General features: G+C 39.6%; 1 protein-coding gene across 1 annotated transcript in view, besides 2 other annotated features; it reads left to right on the forward strand.

Annotated features, from left to right (window-relative positions):
* Window positions 1-17,423, forward strand: part of LNP1 (leukemia NUP98 fusion partner 1) — a 54,781-nt gene that overhangs the window by 5,018 nt on the left and 32,340 nt on the right. The window lies entirely within an intron of this gene.
* Window positions 1,409-1,934: an enhancer, noted in NCBI's record as "H3K4me1 hESC enhancer chr3:100126809-100127334 (GRCh37/hg19 assembly coordinates)". NCBI's record gives its function as "activates a minimal SCP1, AML or CMV promoter by ChIP-STARR-seq in naive H9 embryonic stem cells {active_cell/tissue: H9 hESC(naive)}" and the evidence as "EXISTENCE:reporter gene assay evidence [ECO:0000049][PMID:30033119]".
* Window positions 1,935-2,460: an enhancer, noted in NCBI's record as "H3K4me1 hESC enhancer chr3:100127335-100127860 (GRCh37/hg19 assembly coordinates)". NCBI's record gives its function as "activates a minimal SCP1, AML or CMV promoter by ChIP-STARR-seq in naive H9 embryonic stem cells {active_cell/tissue: H9 hESC(naive)}" and the evidence as "EXISTENCE:reporter gene assay evidence [ECO:0000049][PMID:30033119]".

Here is a 17,423-nt window from a genome sequence, read left to right on the forward strand (position 1 = left end):
GGAGTCTTGCTCTTGTTGCCCAGGCTGGAGTGCAATGGCATGATCTCGGCTCACTGCAACCTCCGCCTCCCGGGTTCAAGCGATTCTCCTGCCTCAGCCTCCCAAGTAGCTGGAATTACAGGTGCCCGCCACCATGCCTGGCTAATTTTTGTATTTTTAGTAGAGACGGGGTTTTGCCATGTTGGCCAGGCTGGTCTTAAACTCCTGGCCTCATGATCCGCCTGCCTCAGCCTCCCAAAGTGCTGGGATTACAGGCATGAGCCACTTCGCCTGGCTGATTTTTATTTTTAGTGTATCTATTGTCGGTTTTTGCTTCAAAAAACATAGATATTACAGGTTATTTTAGACTGATAACAAGTTAACTTTGATTATTTACACATACACATGCAAACTACACTTTAACTCCACTTCCTTTCCTCAATATTTTGTGCTTTCAATTTCACAATTTAAGTATTTTTATATTGCATATCCATCAACAAGTTGCTGTAGTTATTAATTTTAATACTTTTATCTTTTAGCCCTACTAAAGATACGTGATTTACACACCCTCATTACAGTATTTAAATGCTACCATTACAGTATCAGAGTATTATAAATTAAATTTAGCTATGTACGTATTTTTGCCAGGGAGTTTTATACTTTCAGATGTTTCTGTGTTTATCATTAGTGTCCTTTCAGCTTGAAGAACACCCTTTAGCATTTCTTGTAAGACAGGTCTGGTGGTGATGAACTCCCTCAGATTTTGTGTGACTAGGAAAGTCTTTATCTCATGTTCATTTCTGAATGACAGTTTTGCTGAGTACAGTATTCTTGATTGACAGTCTTTTTTTTCCTTTAGCACTTTGACTATATCATACCACTCTTCCCTGGCCTGTAAGATTTCTGTTGAGAAATCTGCTGCTAGGCATATTGGAACTGCCGTATATGTTACTTGCTTTTTTTGTCTTGCTGCTTTTAGGATCCTGTCTTTGTCTTAGATCTGTAGAGTTTGATTATAATATGTCTTGTGATAGTCTTATTTGGATTGAATCTAATTGCAAATCTTTGACCTTCCTGTACCTGGCTATTTATATATTTCTCCAGGTTTGGGAAGTTTTCTGCTATTACTGCTTTAAATAAGCCTTTTACACCCTTATCTTTCTCTACTCCCTCTTGAATGCTGGTAATTTGCGTATTTGCTCTTTTGATACTATCCCATAAACCCTATAAAGTTTCTTTATTCCTTTCCACTCTTTTTCCTTTCTTCTCCTCTGTATATTTTCATATAACCTGTCTTCAAGTTTACAGATTCTTTTTCTGATTGATCAATCCTGCTCTTGATGCTCTCTATTACATTTTTACATTCATTGTATTTTTCAGCTCCAAAATTGGTCTGATTTTATTATTTCAATTTATCTGGTAAATTTCTCATCTGACCATTTATTATTTTCCTAATTTTGTTGACTTGTTTCTCTGTATTTTCTGAAGTTCTTTGAGCTTCTTTAAAACAGCTGTTTTGAATTCCTTGGCAGATAGTTGATATATCTGTGTCTTTAGGGTCTATGACTGGCATCTTATTTTGTCTGTTTAGTGATGTCATGATTCCCCGATTGTTCTTGTGGTCATGTGTCAGTGTGTGTGCATTCAAGAAGCAGTTACTTATTCCAGCCCTCACAATCTGGCTTTGTCTGGGAACATCCTCTAACAGTAAGCCTGTCCAGAGATTCTAGGCAGGTCATTTGGTGTGGTCTCCGAGCCTGTGACCACTGCAGCCCTTCCAGCTCTAGGGAGTGCTATGTACTCCCTACTGTGACCAGCACAGTGCCACGCTGAAATCCCGTAGTCACTGAAGCTGACTTAGCACTGGGATGGAATCCTGTGGCTGCTGAGGCTGGTGCAGCACTTGGGTGCACCCAAAGCCCACAGCTGCTGAGGCTACTGCAGCACTGGGGTACATCTGAAGCTTGCAGCCACTGAGGGGGCCTGCCTGTTGCTGTGGGTTATTTGGATCCCAAGACCACTGTAGTTGGCTGATGGTGATGTGGGCTGGAACTCAAGTTTGTCTCACAGGGGCTATGGTTTCCCATCTGCTGCCGGGATGGGTCTAGAGTCTCAGTCTGCAGTTACTGGCCTGAAGTCATGGGTCATGGGGGGGTCTACCCAGTGCTGAGTTTTACTGTGACAGGCCTGGTATTGGGGTCCAAGGCAAAGTCTTACCTTTACTTTCCTCTCTTCCTCCCAAGCAGACAATATCTTTTTCCGGGCTGTGCTGCCTGGTCTTGGGGGAAGGGTGACATGGGTAATGTAAAACTGTTCTTCCTACCTACTTAAATGTGTCTTTTCTTATTATTATGCTATAACCAGGTGCTATAATCTCTCACCTGGTTTCCTTAGCTCTCGTGAAGGTATTTTATACATAGATAGTTGTTCAAATTCATATTTCTCTGTGGGAAAATTGCTGGAGAGTCCTATTCCACCATCTTGCTCTACTTTCCTCTGTGAGAATGTTTTGGATGAGATTGATACTTGAATTGGCAGAGTGAGTAAAGCAGATTGCCCTCAGTGTGGTTGGCCCTCATTCAATCAGATGAGGGCCCAAATAGAACAAAACTTGACCCACTGATGAATAAGAGGGAACTCCTCCTCCCTAAGTTCCTTGAGCTGGGATATTCATCTTTTCTTGCCTTTGGACTTGAACTGAAATATCAGCTCTTCTTAGGTGTAGAGCCTAGTGACTTTCAGACTGAAAAGATACTATCAGCTCTCCTTGGTCTCCAGCTTGTTTACTATAGGTCTTAGCCTCCATAATTTTGTAAATAAATAAATAGGCTGGGCACGGTGGCTCATGCCTGTAATCCCAGCACTTTGGGAGGCTGAGGCGGGTTGATCATGAGGTCAGGAGTTCGAGGCCAGCCTGGCCAAGACAGTGAAACCCTGTCTTTACTAAAAATACAAAAATTAGCTGGGTGTGGTGGTGGGCGCCTGCAATTCCAGCTCTCTCTCTCTCTATATATATATACATACACACACACACACACACACACACACACACACACATATATATATATATATTTTTTTTTTTTTTGAGTCTCACTCTTATAGCCCAGGCCAGAGTGCAGTGGCGTGATCTCGGCTCACTGCAACTTCCGCCTCCTGGGTTCAAGCGATTCTGCCTTAGCCTCCCGAGTATCTGGGATTGCAGGTACCCACCACTGTGCCCAGCTAATTTTTGTATTTTTAGTAGAGACGGGGTTTCACCATATTGGCCGGGCTGGTGTTGAACTCCTGACCTCAGGCGATCTACCCACCGCAGCCTCCCAAAGTGCTAGGATTACAGGCGTGAGCCACCACACCCAGCCTAAATATATATTTGTATATATTTAATTAAATATATGCATAAATATATATGTACATAGCTTACATCTATCTATCTATCTATCTATCTATCTATCTATCTATCTATCTACCTATTTTATCTGTCTATAATTAGTCTTGTTTCTCTGAAGAACCCTAATACAGATTTTGGTACTAGGAATGGGGTGCTAATGTAACAGAAAAATACCTAAACAAATGGAATTAGCTTTGGAACTGATTGATGGGTACAGGCTGGAAGATTTTTGAGGTGCCTGCTAGAAAAAGCCAACATTGTTGTGAGGGAAGTGTTGGTAGAAATATGGATATTAAAAGAAATTTTGGTGAGGGGTCAGAAAGTAAAGAGGAGAGCTAGAAACAAAGCTTCCATTTTCTTAGAGAATACATAAATACATGAACAGAATATTCATTCAAATGTGGATGTTAAGGGCCATTTTGGTGAGATCTCAGATACAAATAAAGAACAGACAGTTGGAAACTGGAAGGTGATCTTTATTATAAAGTAGCAAAGAATATGGCTGCATTGTGTCCTAGTGTTGTGCAAGGTAGAACTTGCAAGTGATGAAATTGGATACATAGCAGAGGAGATATCTAAGTAAAGTATCAAAGGTACCCCTTGGGTCCTCCTTGCTGCTTATAGTAAAATGCAAGAGGAGAGAGGTGAATTGAAGAAGGAATGGTTAGGAAAAAGGAGCCAGAACATGGAGATTGGGTACAACTCATGGACTTAATCAGCCATCTCATCAGAAGCCAAGAATAGAGATGGGATTTTACCAGCAGAAACACTGCTGGCTGAGACTAAGGAAACAGAAAAAATGAGACAGGATGAAGGAAAGCTATCAGACTTAGATTTTACAGGATGGGACCATAGAGCTATTTGGCTCTGAAAATACTTTATCCTTCAAGAAAAGGGAAGACTGACTCCAACAGCAATTCAGAAATCCTCAGGGCTGCCAGTCCCACTACAGGCCCAGGGAGTAGGTCTGAATCCTTCTGTTTTTCAAAGAGTGGGTGTGCCCTTCCAGTTTTGGTGGGTCAGGAACCCTTGCCTACTATATCAGGGTCAGGGTCAGGTTTGCCCTAGCAGAGAGCTTGTGGACTGGCCTTACTCCTTAAGCTGAAGGGGCAAGGCTACCCTGTAGAGCTGTGAGAATGATACTACCACCCGAGAGGGCCTGGGGGGCAGAGAGTTGAACCCAAGAGGGTTATTCTCTAGCTTTAAGATCCAAAGGAATTTTCCTTGCTAGATTTTGGACTTGTTACAAAAGCCATCACCTCTTCCTTCTTTGCTATTTCTCCCTTTTGGAGTGGGACTGTCTATCCTATGCCTTGTCCCATCATATTTTAGAAGCACATGACTTGTCTGGTTTCACAGGTTCACACCTGCAGAGAATTTTGCCTCAGGATGAATCACACTTCAGTTCTCTCCCATACCTGATTTAGATGATATTTAATGAGACATTGGACCTTAAGCTTTAGAGGTGATGTTGTAATGAGTTAAGACTTTTAGCACATTAGGGTGGGATGAATGATGAATGTATTTTGTATGTAAGAAGGGCATGAATTTTGGAGGCCAGATGCCCCACTCTTAGTACCAAAATCTGTAGTACTCTACAAGTGTTGCTGTAACAAAATACCACAGACTGAGTGGCATAAACAGCAGAAATTTGTTTATCATGCTTCTGGAGGCTGGGGAGTCCCAGATCAAAGTTCAGGTCTGTTTGTTTTCTTGTGAGGGTTCTCTTCCTGGCTCACTGTAGGCCACCTTCCCTCTGTTTCTCACATGACCTCTTTGTATGCATGCAGAGAGAGAGAGTAAACTCTCTGATGTTTCTTCTTATAAGGGCACTAATTTCATCAAACCAAGGCCCCACCCTCATAATCTCATCTAACCCAAATTACCTCCCCAAAGTCCCATCTCCAAATACCATCGCATTGGGGGTTAGGGCTTCAACATATGGATTTTGGGGGAACACGGGGGACAAAAATATTCAGTCCATAATAGTTAGCATATAATAGACACTCAATAAATACTGTTTTAAGTAAATAAATATTCTGCTAAAGGTATCAAAGAAGGAAAAAGTGACATTCAAGATTGTATTAGCCATTTTTGTGTTGCTATAACAGAATACCCGAGGCTGGGTAATTTCTGAAGAAATTTATTTAGCTCATGGTTCTGCATGCTGAGAAGTATGGCGCTGGCATCTGTTTGGCTTCTGGAAGAGGCCATGTGCTAGATCAAAACACGGCAGAAGTTCAAAGAGGATGTGAACATGTGTGAAGACAGACCAAACGAGAAACCTTGCTTTGTAATAACCCACTTTCTTAGGAACTAATCTGTTCCCAGAGAGCTAATCCAGTCTCTAGAGAGCAAGAACTCACTACCGTGAGAATAGCACCAAGCAAAAGGGATCCACCCCGTTGACCTGAACACCTTCCATTAGGCACCACCTCCCAACTGCCACATTTGGGATGAAATTTCAGCCCGAGTTTTGGTGGGGACAAACAAACCATATCCAAACAGTAGCATAGATGGAATAGGTAGGATTTGCATTTACTTAAAAAAATATTTATTGTCTATTACATGCTTCCCCTAAACTCCCAGAATACTTTTTCTGGGACTTTCTCAAAATTTACTACTTTTCTGCCTTGTTTTATAGTATTATACTTGTCCTAACTCATCTACTGGATTATAAGTATCTCAACATCAGAAGCCGTGTCTGATTTATTTTGTATCCTGTACAAAATCTACAATGCCTTCTCTAATTCTATATGTCAGAGCAAAGTAATATGTTTTCTCTTTTGTATTAGACCATCCCTCAGATTCTATTTCTTCCTCACAATTACTGTATTGCCATAATTATTCATTCTCATATCTGCTGCCTATGCTCAATTCTGAGTCCCTGAAGGGCAGGGAGCATGTTCTAGTCATCTTTGTACTCCTGTATCTGTAAGAGGGTTGGGCATATGATGAGTGCCTGTTAACTTATTTATCCACCCAACACAATACCTGAAATATGGTCAATGCGAAATAAAAAGTTGATGAAGTGTTTGTTGAACAAGTTTCTAACTGATATTGTTGTCAATATTAACAGTCTGGTACCACCATTGCTGTCCAATACCACTGGTGTCAGCCGGGACACCAATTGCTCCTGCTGCTGCAGCTGCCGCCACCAGAAATAGTCTACTTCCATCACAACCACCTTTATAGCCTCTGGCTAGATCCCAGTCCCTAGCATGCTGTGGTCACTGCTACCACTTCCACCACTGAAGCTGCTTCCTGGAAGACCTGATTGGTTTATACTTTGTATCTCATTTATGATATATGGAAGCCTGTTTCTTTTGAGCCCTTATGCGGTTATTTTTTCCCCCCAATCCTGATGGTTTCTGCATTATTCAACTTCCATCAAAGCATCAGTTGAGTGGGTGGTACTGCTTCACTTCTCAGGGGGAATGTCACTTTATGATTCAATCAAGTGGTTGCCCTTTTTGCTGTCAGAAGGAGCATCTGCATTTATCTTCAGGGAACAATCTGTAGTAACACTAGTTTCCTCTCCTTAGCTGTGACTGATAGCTCATATGTATATTTTTATGCACTCATTTCCCACCTTTCTTCCCACTCACATGGATTTATAAGATCTTTCCATCTTCATCAGTTTAGTTCATTGCCACCCAGAAGAATTTGTGTCATTTGTAAATGCAGAATTGTTGCCCTGCACTTTAATTTATAAAGATATTACATACAGATTATGCTCATGGTGCCCTACACAAGAATGCTGGGGCGAGTGGGTGTTGAGGTCCAGCATGCACTTTGCTCAGCACAGCCTTCTGTCAGGCTGGGTCTGCCTGGAGAAAGGTGCTTCTTTTTATGATTTGCATGAAAATGCTGGTCCATTACTAAGTGATGGGCCTACAGTAGAGTATTCACTCATAAAAGGCATTCAAACTAGCAGCCATGGTTATGCAGTGCTGTTCTTAGCATTGCTCTAGCATTGAACCTGAGAGCCTCTAGTCTGTGCTTTTCCATCTTTCTGCCATTTTTTCCCGACCAGTGGAAGATAGCCTTAACTTCAACAATGAAGAAAAGACCCAATTTTGTCAAATTTTGAAAAACATTCAAAGCTGCAAAAAAAAAAATAGTTTCTGTAACTATGTTCTGACTATCTGTTGCTGCTTCACGAACTACCCCAAAACTCAGTGTCTTGAAACATTGCTTTATTACATATCATAATTTTGTTGCTCAGGAATTTGGACGTGGCTCCTCTGGTAATATCAACAGAGATTACTCCGTGTTATTCAGCTGCTGAATGGGTTGGTCTGAAGGGTTCAAGATGGTTTAATCAAGGTTAATGAAAGTGGTCAGGTGCGGTGGCTCATGCCTGTGATCCCAGCACTTTGGGAGGCCGAGGTGGGTGGATCACTTGAGGTCAGGAGGTTGAGACCAGCCTGGACAACATCGTGAAACCTCGTCTCTACTAAAAATACAAAAATTAGCTGGGCATGGTGGCAGGCACCTGTAATCCCAGCTACTTGGGAGACCGAGGCAGGAGAATCGCTTGAACCTGGGAGGCAGAGGTTGCAGTGAGCCGAGATCGCACCGCTGCACTCCAGCCTGGGCAATAAAGCTAGACTCAGTCTTAAAAAAAAAAAAAAAGTTAATCAAAGGGCAGATGATCCTGCGTATACCTGATCTAATCAAGAGAGCCCCTCAGAGAGGTCAAAGAGATTGGAAGTGAAAGAGATTTTTCCTGCTGGCTGTGAAGAAGCAAACTGCTTATGGAGGGGCCACATAGCAAGGAACTCTAGGAGCTTAGAGTCATCCCTGGCCAACAACCAGTGAGAAAATGTCCTACAACTAGAAGAAACTGAATTCTTCCAATGATGGGTGGACTTGGAAGACACATGAGCCTCAAATACCTTGATTTCAGTCTAATGAGACCCTTAATAGAGGACTCAGCTAACCTGTGTTCAGAATTCTAAATCTTGGAGACCGTAGGATAATAAATTAGTGTGGTTTTAAGCTGCTAAGTTTGTGATAATTTGAAATACAACCAAAGAAAACTAATAAAGATACCTAAATAACAAAAAGGGTAATTCTACCGCATACCATACACAAAATGGCAAATAGATTAAAAACCCAGAAAACTAAAACTTTAAACTTTTAGGAGAAAATGTGAGAGAATATCTTGATGACTTTGTGATAGGGTAAAGGATAAGCTTGTGAAGAAAAAGATCAGTTTGGGTACATTAAAAGATTTTAACTTACAGAAAACATATACTGCAAAAGAGTCGGAAGATAAGACATACTGGGAAAAGGTATTTGTGATGTTTAAAACTTACAGAAGGTTAATATACAGAATACATGTAGAACTCCTATAGATCAATAAGAAAAAGACAACTCTGAAGAAAAATGAGCAAAGGATATAAACAAGCTACTTGTAAAAGAAGTGCAAATGGAAAATATACATATGAAAACATCCTTAATCTCACCAATAAATAGGGGAATACAAATTAAAACAACAATGAAATTTCATTTTGCATCTACAATATTGGCAACAGTTTTTAAATCCAGCAGTACCAGTGAGGCAAGGATGTCAAAAAATGGAATTGTAAATTGATTGAACTACTTTAGAGAGGCAACCATTATGAGTATTTTTTGTGGGTTCCTTTTCTAAACTGTTAGTGTTTAATAAAATGGAAGATTCAGATACCTCCAATCCAGAAATTTCACCTCTAGATAGACAACACACTGCACACACAAGAAAACCTGTTTAGGGCACCATCGCTTGTAATAGCAAAAAGTGGAAATTACATAAAAGCTTACCAGTAGAAGAATGGATGGATTATTATAAAGATAACACCCTTGATGTTATCTTTCACCATTCAAGCAAAGAATTGGAACTTTGCCACCACCTTAGAAGCTTCTTCTATGACTGCTATCCAAATCACAAATCCTCTTCTACCACTTATAAGTAACCATTATCTTGACTATCAACAATAGTTTACTTGCTTTAAAAAAAAGGTTGTATTGTCACCCAAATGTGCAACCCCAGATGCTGTCGTTTAGTCTTGCCCATTAGCAAAAATTGATATGTTTTCTAAGTTTCTTGTAATCTATATTGGTAGATGAACCTAGAGTCTGGACTAGACCAAGGTTTGATTCCTTTGCAAGGCAGAAGGCAGATAATGTCTGATTGTCTCTCTGTAATATAAGCAGCCACTTATGCTTAATGCTCACTAATTCCATGGTGATCACAAAATGGCAATATTCTAATTCTTTTCTATTCTCTCATTTTCATTTATTAGTTGGAATATTTTTATAAGGGGAAATTGAAATTCAAACTGTTCCATCTGTGGCTTTGAGTCTTTTTGAAAAACAAACAAAAAAGCCCTAGTTGTCATTCATAGTTTCCTTGTTCTATATTATGTCAAGAGGTTCCAAGGTCATTTTGTTTATTTCCTGCAACAGACCAGGAATCAGCCATTTCTTCAGGAAGCCCTGTTTTGTTTTGTTTTCTTTGTCTTTATTTATTTTTTAATCTTTTGTTGCTGCTGCTGCTGTTGTTGTTTAATGAGAATTGGCATTTCAAGGCCATAATCTGGGTGTTCATTGCATTTGGGTTGGCCCTTGCTTCTAGGCCTTTTCAATGGACAGAGTCAGGATATAAATAATACCTTGAGTATATCTTTTTTGTGTGTGTGTGTGTGTGTGTGTGTGTGTGTGTGTGTGTGTGTGTGTGGTGTTTTTGGTCTGTCCTTTTTTTAAAAAAAATATTTTGGTTAAATATATAAATACATTTTTTTGTTTTGATTTTTTTTTTTTTTTACATTAAGTTCCAGGATACATGTGCAGAATGTGCAGGTTTGTTACATAGGTATACATGTGCCATGGTGGTTTGTTGCACCTATCAACCCATCATCTAGGTTTTAAGCCCCGCATGCATTAGGTATTTGTCCTAATGCTCTCCCTCCCCTTTCCCCTAACCCAGCAACAGGCCCAGGTGTATGTTGTTCCCCTTGAGTTCATCTTGACCTGTCCCATTCAAATTCATGTCTGCCACAGTTGATTTTGCTAGGTATAAAATTCCTAGCTCATACCTTCTTTCTTGCCTTGTTTATCTTTTTGTGTCTGTGCATATTTTTTATTCTAATTGTGCTGACAGTATGCTTTTTGGCAACCATACTTCCAAAGCAATGTTTCCTTGGTATCTTAAGTTCATATATTTTCCTTGGCCATAAAACATTGCTGGCAAAAAGTCTGATGATAATCTAATCGTCTTTTCCTTATAACTCATGCTGTCTATTACCTCCCTCTCCCTATCTCTGCCCAGGTTCCCTCAAGGAATCTTTCTTTCTCTTTTAAAATATAGCAAACATATTATGATATGTCCTGGTGTTGGTTGTATGACGATATTTTCAAATATACAGTATACTTTTTCTTTTTCTTTCTTTCTTTCTTTTTTCTTTTTTTTTTTTTTTTTTTTTTCGAGACAGGATCTCACTCTGACACCCAGACTGTAGTGCACTGGTGCGATCTCAGCTCACTGCAACCTCCGCCTCCCAGGCTAAGCACTTCTCCTGCCTCAGCCTCCCAAGTAGCTGGGATTACAGGCCCACGCCACCATGCCCTGCTAATTTTTTTTGTATTTTTAGTAGAGATGAGGTTTCACCATGTTGGTCAGGCCGGTCTTGAACTCGTGACCTCAAATGATCCACCCACCTTGGCCCTTCAAAATGCTGGGATTACAGACGTGAGACACCTCGCACTGCCGGTATACTTTTTCAATACGTAGTTTTAAATCTTTTTTTCTTTTCAGGAAAGCGTTTATTTGAATTACAGTATTTGCTCTGTTCCCTTGCTTTGCTTTTCTTTTTCGGGGAGTTCATTATCTATAATGTCACTCTCCTTTGCATATCTTTATAATTGTTAGTTAGTCTTGAATTCTTTTGATTTCTTTCTTCATTTGTTAAAATAATCTTTTTTTATCTTGTATTTATTTGGAGACATTATTGGTTGCATTTTTTACTCATTCCTTCTAGCTTAACCTTTTCTGACATGATTTTTTCTCTTTATTTCTAATTCTTTCCTGAGTTTTATCATATCATTTGTATGTTATTCTAATTCTGTTTTGTTCTTTCATTTCTCATACCATTTTTTTTTTTTTTTTTTGAGATGGAATCTCACTCTGTCGCCCTGGCTGGAGTGCAGTGGTGTGAGCTCGGCTCAATGCAACCTCTGCCTCCTGGGTTCAAGCAAATCTCCTGCCTCAGTCTCCTGAGTAGCTGGGATTACAGGCACCCACCACCACACCCGGCTAATTTTTTTTTTTTTTTGTATTTTTAGCCAACGATGTTGGCCAGGCTGGTTTCGAACTCCTGACCCCAAGTGATCCAACTGCCTCGGCCTCCCAAAGTGCTAGGATTACAGGCATGAGCCACCATGCTCCGCTTCACATCACTTTGTAACTATCATTTAGTTCATTTTGAAATAGTGGCTACCAACATTGATCTGTTTTGTAGGTACTTTTTTTTTTTGGTCATGCTTTCATTGTCTGTAGGTCTGTATTCTCATTTTTAAAACAGAAATGCTGTGTGAGATTCTACCTTGATATTTTCTGTCCCTCATTTTTATGTAAAATTCTTGAACTCTTAGAATGACATAGGGTGCAGGAAAGTTTTTGAAATTCCACAGAGCTTCCTCTTCTGTTGTGTTTGTATAGTGTTTACAAATATGGCAGCTTGCTTTCTAAGATGTGCTGGCTGTGTTCCCCATCCCATTTGGTTTTAGATCCGCTCTTTTCTTTATCTCTGTTGTCCCTGTCTATTGCAGTTTTGATTCCACTCTTCACAGTTTCTCCTCAGTGTGAGGCTTTGTCCTAGAAGGTCAGATTTGAGAGTTTATGGTGGCTGGACAGTTCAGCCCTTTCAATCCTTCTTACCACAGGCTTTTTGTACTCACTCAGTATTGGAGAGAACAAATCCCTCCCAGTTTCAGCTACTATTCTCAAATTGGTTCCCTGTGCTTTCCAAACTATTGGCTATTTTGTGGTTCTCCTGTTCTCAGGTCTAGAGGATGCCGTGTTGCTTCTTTCTTCTTCCTCCTGCATGGACAACCATACCAGGTCTATAGCTGTTGGTGGTTTGACCCCACAACCTGCACTTGGGAGTAGGGCACATCTTGAGGGGTCATCTTGTCACTTAGTTTTGTCGTAGAGCTGTCCATAGGTTTTTTCTGCTACAGTTGCTCTATTAGTTTTCATGTGGGGATTCAAACAGATTAAAAACCTATGCTGTCATCGTTGCTTTCTTCCCAGAGTACCTCTAACTCAACAGCATTTTGGTCCTGTAGCTACCCATTTAGAGAAGTTTCTTTTTCTTGATATAAGTCATTTTTCTTTTTTACTTTTTATTATGAAATAATGACAAGAAGTTGCAAATAAGTGTACACAGAAGTCCCATGCATCCTTCACCTACTCTTCTAATGTTGACATCTTGTATAACTATAGTATAATGTCAAAACCAGGAAATTGACATTGGTATAATCCATATAACTTACTCAAATTTCACTAGCTATGCACACACTCATTTGTGTGTGTGTGTATGTGTGTGTGTAGTTCTGTGCAATTTTATCACATCCATAGCTTTGTGTAACTGTCACAATCAAAGTACAGAACTGGTCTATCATCAGAAAGCTTCCTCAAACTAAACTCTGAGAGCCACTTCCTCAATCTCTAACCCATAGGAACTGCTAAATCAGTTCCTCATCTCTATGATTGTGTTATTTAAAGAATGCTATATAAAAATTATTTCTATTTATATGGAATTATATTTTATTTATATAATTATAAAATTCCTTTTGAGATTGAACTTTTTTACGCAGCATAGTTCTCTTGAATGTGTCAGGTTGTGTGTATCAAGCCTGTACATTCATGTGCAGGCTCTTGCATGAACATAGGTTTTAATTTCTCTAGGATAATTGCCTAAGAGTACAATCACTGGGTCATATGGTAGATGTATTTTTTGTTTTAGAAGAAACAGGCAAACTATTTTTCAAAGTGGCTGTACCTTTTTTTATTCCCATCAGCAATGTATGAATGATCCAGCTTCTCTGCTTCCTCTTCAACATTTGGTGTTAATACTCTTTTTAAATTTTACACATTCTGATAGGTATGTAGTAATATTGCATTCTGATTTTAGTTTGTCTTTACCTAATGGCTAATGATGTTGAACATCTTTTCCTGTACTTATTTGCCATTTGTATATCTTCTGAGATCAGATGAGATTGGGTACATTCAGGGCGTTATGGCCATAGACACCATTTGTATATCCTTCTCAGTGAAATGTCTTTGATGTCATTGGCTTGTTTTCTTGTTTTCTTTTCTTTGCCTGCCTGCCTTCCTTCCTTCCTTCCTTCCTTCTTTTTGAGATGGTGTCTTTACTGTCACTCATGGTGGAATAAAGTGGCATGATCACAGTTCACTGTAGCCTCAACCTCCCGAGCTCAAGCGATCCTCCCACCTCAGCCTCCTGAGTAGCTGGGACTACAGGTGCATGCCACCATGCCTGGCTAGTTTTTTTAAAAAAAATTTTATAGAGACAGGGTCTCCCTATGTTGCCTAGGCTTGTCTCAAACTCCTGGGCTCAAGTGATCCTCATATCTTGGCCTCCCAAAGTGCTGGGATTACAGGTGTGAGCCACCATGCCTGGCCTTTGTTTTCTGATTGGATTATGTGTTCTCTTAATGTTGAAATTTGAAAGTTTTTTAAAAAATGTATTCTAGTTACTAGTCCTGTGTCAGATACATGGTTTGTAAACATTTTCCACCAGTCTTTATCTTACTTTTTTCATCCTCTTAACAGGGTCTTTCATAGAGCAAAAGTTTTTAATTCAGTGATGTATAATTTATCAATTTTTCCTTTTATAGATTATGCTTTTGGTGTCAAGTCTAAGAACTCTTGCCTAGCTCTTGATCCCAAAGATTTTCTCCCATGCTTTTTTTTTTCTAAAAGTCTTACAGTTTACAATTTATATTTAAGTCTGTGATCCATTTTGAGTTCATTTTTGTGTAATGTTATTTTTTTATTTTTTGAGATAAGAGTCTTGCTCTGTTTCCCAGGCTGGAGTGCAGTGGGATAGTCACGGCTCACTGGAGCCTCAATCTCCTGAGCTCAAGTGATCCTCTTGTCTTGGCCTCCCAGAGTGCTGAGATTACAGTCATGAGTCACTGCACCGGGCTGAAGACTCATTTTTTTAAACTGTGGATGTTCAATTGCTCCAAAACCATTTGTTGAAAAGCCTATCCTTCCTCCATTGAATTGCTTTTGTACTCTTTACAAAATTCAGCTAGAAATATATGTGGGTCTCTTTCTTGATTCTCTTGCTGGGGCAGTTAATCTGTATTCTATTCAGGTCCACCCACAGTATGGAGGGAAATCTGCTTTACTCAAATTCCACCTATTTAAATGTAAATCTCATCAAAAACAGCCTCACAGAAACATCCAGAATTAATGTTTGACCAAATATCTGGGCACCATGGACCAGTGAAGTTGACACACAAAATTAATTATCACCCTGTATTGTATTTTATTTTGAGAAGTTTCCTGTGTCATTAAGTCCTATGATTTTTGATGATTGCATAGAATTCTGTTATATAAATATATCGTAATGTATTAGCCTGATCTCCAGTTGTTGTACTTTTAAGATGTTTCCACATCTTACAAGTTTTTGCTATTTTAAATAATGTTATGTGAACAAACATCCTTGTATGTACCTCTTACTACCCACTTGTAAAAAAGAGAGAAATTTCTGGGTCAAAGGATGCAAATTTTTTTTAAAGCTTTTAAATGCATCTTGCCATATACCTTTCCATAAAGACCTTATTCCTGCTAATAACATGTGATATTTGATCCTCAGAAAAGAATGTTATGGAGGTTCAAGTTTTTTTGTTTTAATAGTCTGAAAACTTCACATTATTTTTTAACTCAAACTTTAGTTTTTGCAATTTATTTTCCTAAATGTTGTATTTTGTCAGTTTTCTTTATGTGTATGATGATCCTCTCCTTTATTGTAAATTGCAGCATTTTGTCCCTCTCAAATATGAGGCACTCAGGACTCTCAATTCCCCCAGTTCTTGTTTGGATCACTTCTTATGGAGAGGCTTGTAGATTCAACAGAAGTGCTGAGGCATTACCTTTAGATTCTGTGACATTGCAGTTAATAACTGAAAGGAAGCCTTTCTGAAGTATAGCACACTGATGAACTGGATTGATAAAGTCTTTTTTTTTTTTTTTTTTTGCTATGGAGTCTTGCTTAGTCGCCCAGGCTGGAGTGAAGTGGCATGATCTGGGCTCACTGCAAGCTTCGCCTCCCGGGTTCAGGCCATTCTCCTGCCTCAGCCTCCTGAGTAGCTGGGACTATAGGCACCTGCCACCAAGCCCAGCTAATTTTTTGCATTTTTAGTGGAGACAGGGTTTCACTGTGTTAGCCAGGATGGTCTTGATCTCCTGACCTTGTGATCCGCCTGCCTCAGCCTCCCAAAAAGTTTTTTACATAGTAGTAAATTTTAACAGTAGTAGCTCGTCTGTTTTAGAATAATTGGTGCCTAGGGATTGAAGAGACCTTGAGAGGTCAACCAACTAATAACACTTTTGGAGACAAAGCTACAGAGATTTCATCTTTGGCAGATGAGAATCAGGGCTGTGTTTGAAGGTCTCTTGTGTAAGAGATGATTTATTGGCTCTTCAAAATCTCTTCCAATGTCTAACAACTATTATGAAGCCCACCTTTAGCCAAAATCCTGAAGAATTTAATGATGCTTAATGCCAAGGTAACTGGATATTTATATAACCAATATTTTATAGGCAAATCTCTGAAAACATACCTTGCTTTGTCTCCTCTTTTTTTTTTTTTTTTTTTTTTTTTTTGCACCACTAGTGGCATAGTTTAAAAACAGTTCTCATAATACATGCTTCACGGCTTTTTAGAATAAAAAATAATGGTGATATACCCTTAGAGACATGCTTTAGGACACTTGGTTAAAAAAGGTGTGTCTTTGATGACCACCTCAAAAGAGTGGCAGACTTCACAGTATAACTTGATAATATACAAGGAAATGGATGATTATACTATGACACGTTGCCACTAAACAAGAGTCTGACAATCAGGTCATTGAATAGAACATAGCACACAGTTTCAAGTATTTAAGCACTGCTTTCTGGGAAGTAAAAACTGACTCAAAACCACTGATGTATTTTGACCGTTAAAAAGAAAAAAAGATGTAGCAGTTTAGCTCTTCTGGACATAGCATTTCCTTTCTAGAATGAGACCGGTTCAGTCAAGCTTGAAATCAGTAAGAGGAATGATGCTTTCCCTTAACTGTTAAGAAAAAGAAAAACGAAATAAAAAAAAATAAGTTACTACTGCAACAACGGCATGGCACTGGGACAGTGAAATAAATAAAGGGAAAATCGGATGGGCGTGGTGGCTCACTCCTGTAATCCTAACACTTTGGGAGGCTGAGGTTGGAGGATTGCTTGAGTCCAGGAGTTCGAGACCAGCCTGGGCAACGTAGTGAGACCTCATCTCTATAAAAATAAATAAAGGGAAAATCATTTTCTCATAATTGCATAGTCTCCTAAGAGAGAGGGCACTGAGAAACCACTTGACAGCCCAAGGATCATTTTCACTGATTACCTGGGCACCCATGATATCCGTTCACTTTATGAGAATACACACACTGCAAGCTTCCTATTCTGTAAGAGAAGGTATTTTTTTTTTCACATTCAGCATGATAAGAAAATTCTCATTTTCTTGAGTGTCAGCATGATACTCAAATTCTCAGCTCAGAAGCTGCAGCTGTCGCAGTCACTTGGCAGCTTTTGCATCATCCTGCAGGCTCAAAAAGGTGCAGGGTAAAAAGCGCAGCTCCCTTTGGTACGCATCCCCAGCAGCATCTCCTCAAGGCAGGTGCCCAGGGCCGTTACTAGGGAAAGCAGGTATCTGGGCTTCAGGAGTGGGCTGGAGCCTCCCCTCAGGCCAGGGCTCCCAAGAAAGCCCAGAAGAGCATCTCTCCC

Source organism: Homo sapiens, chromosome 3 (genome assembly GCF_000001405.40).
Source record: "Homo sapiens chromosome 3, GRCh38.p14 Primary Assembly".
In the NCBI taxonomy this organism is placed as follows: domain Eukaryota; kingdom Metazoa; phylum Chordata; class Mammalia; order Primates; family Hominidae; genus Homo; species Homo sapiens.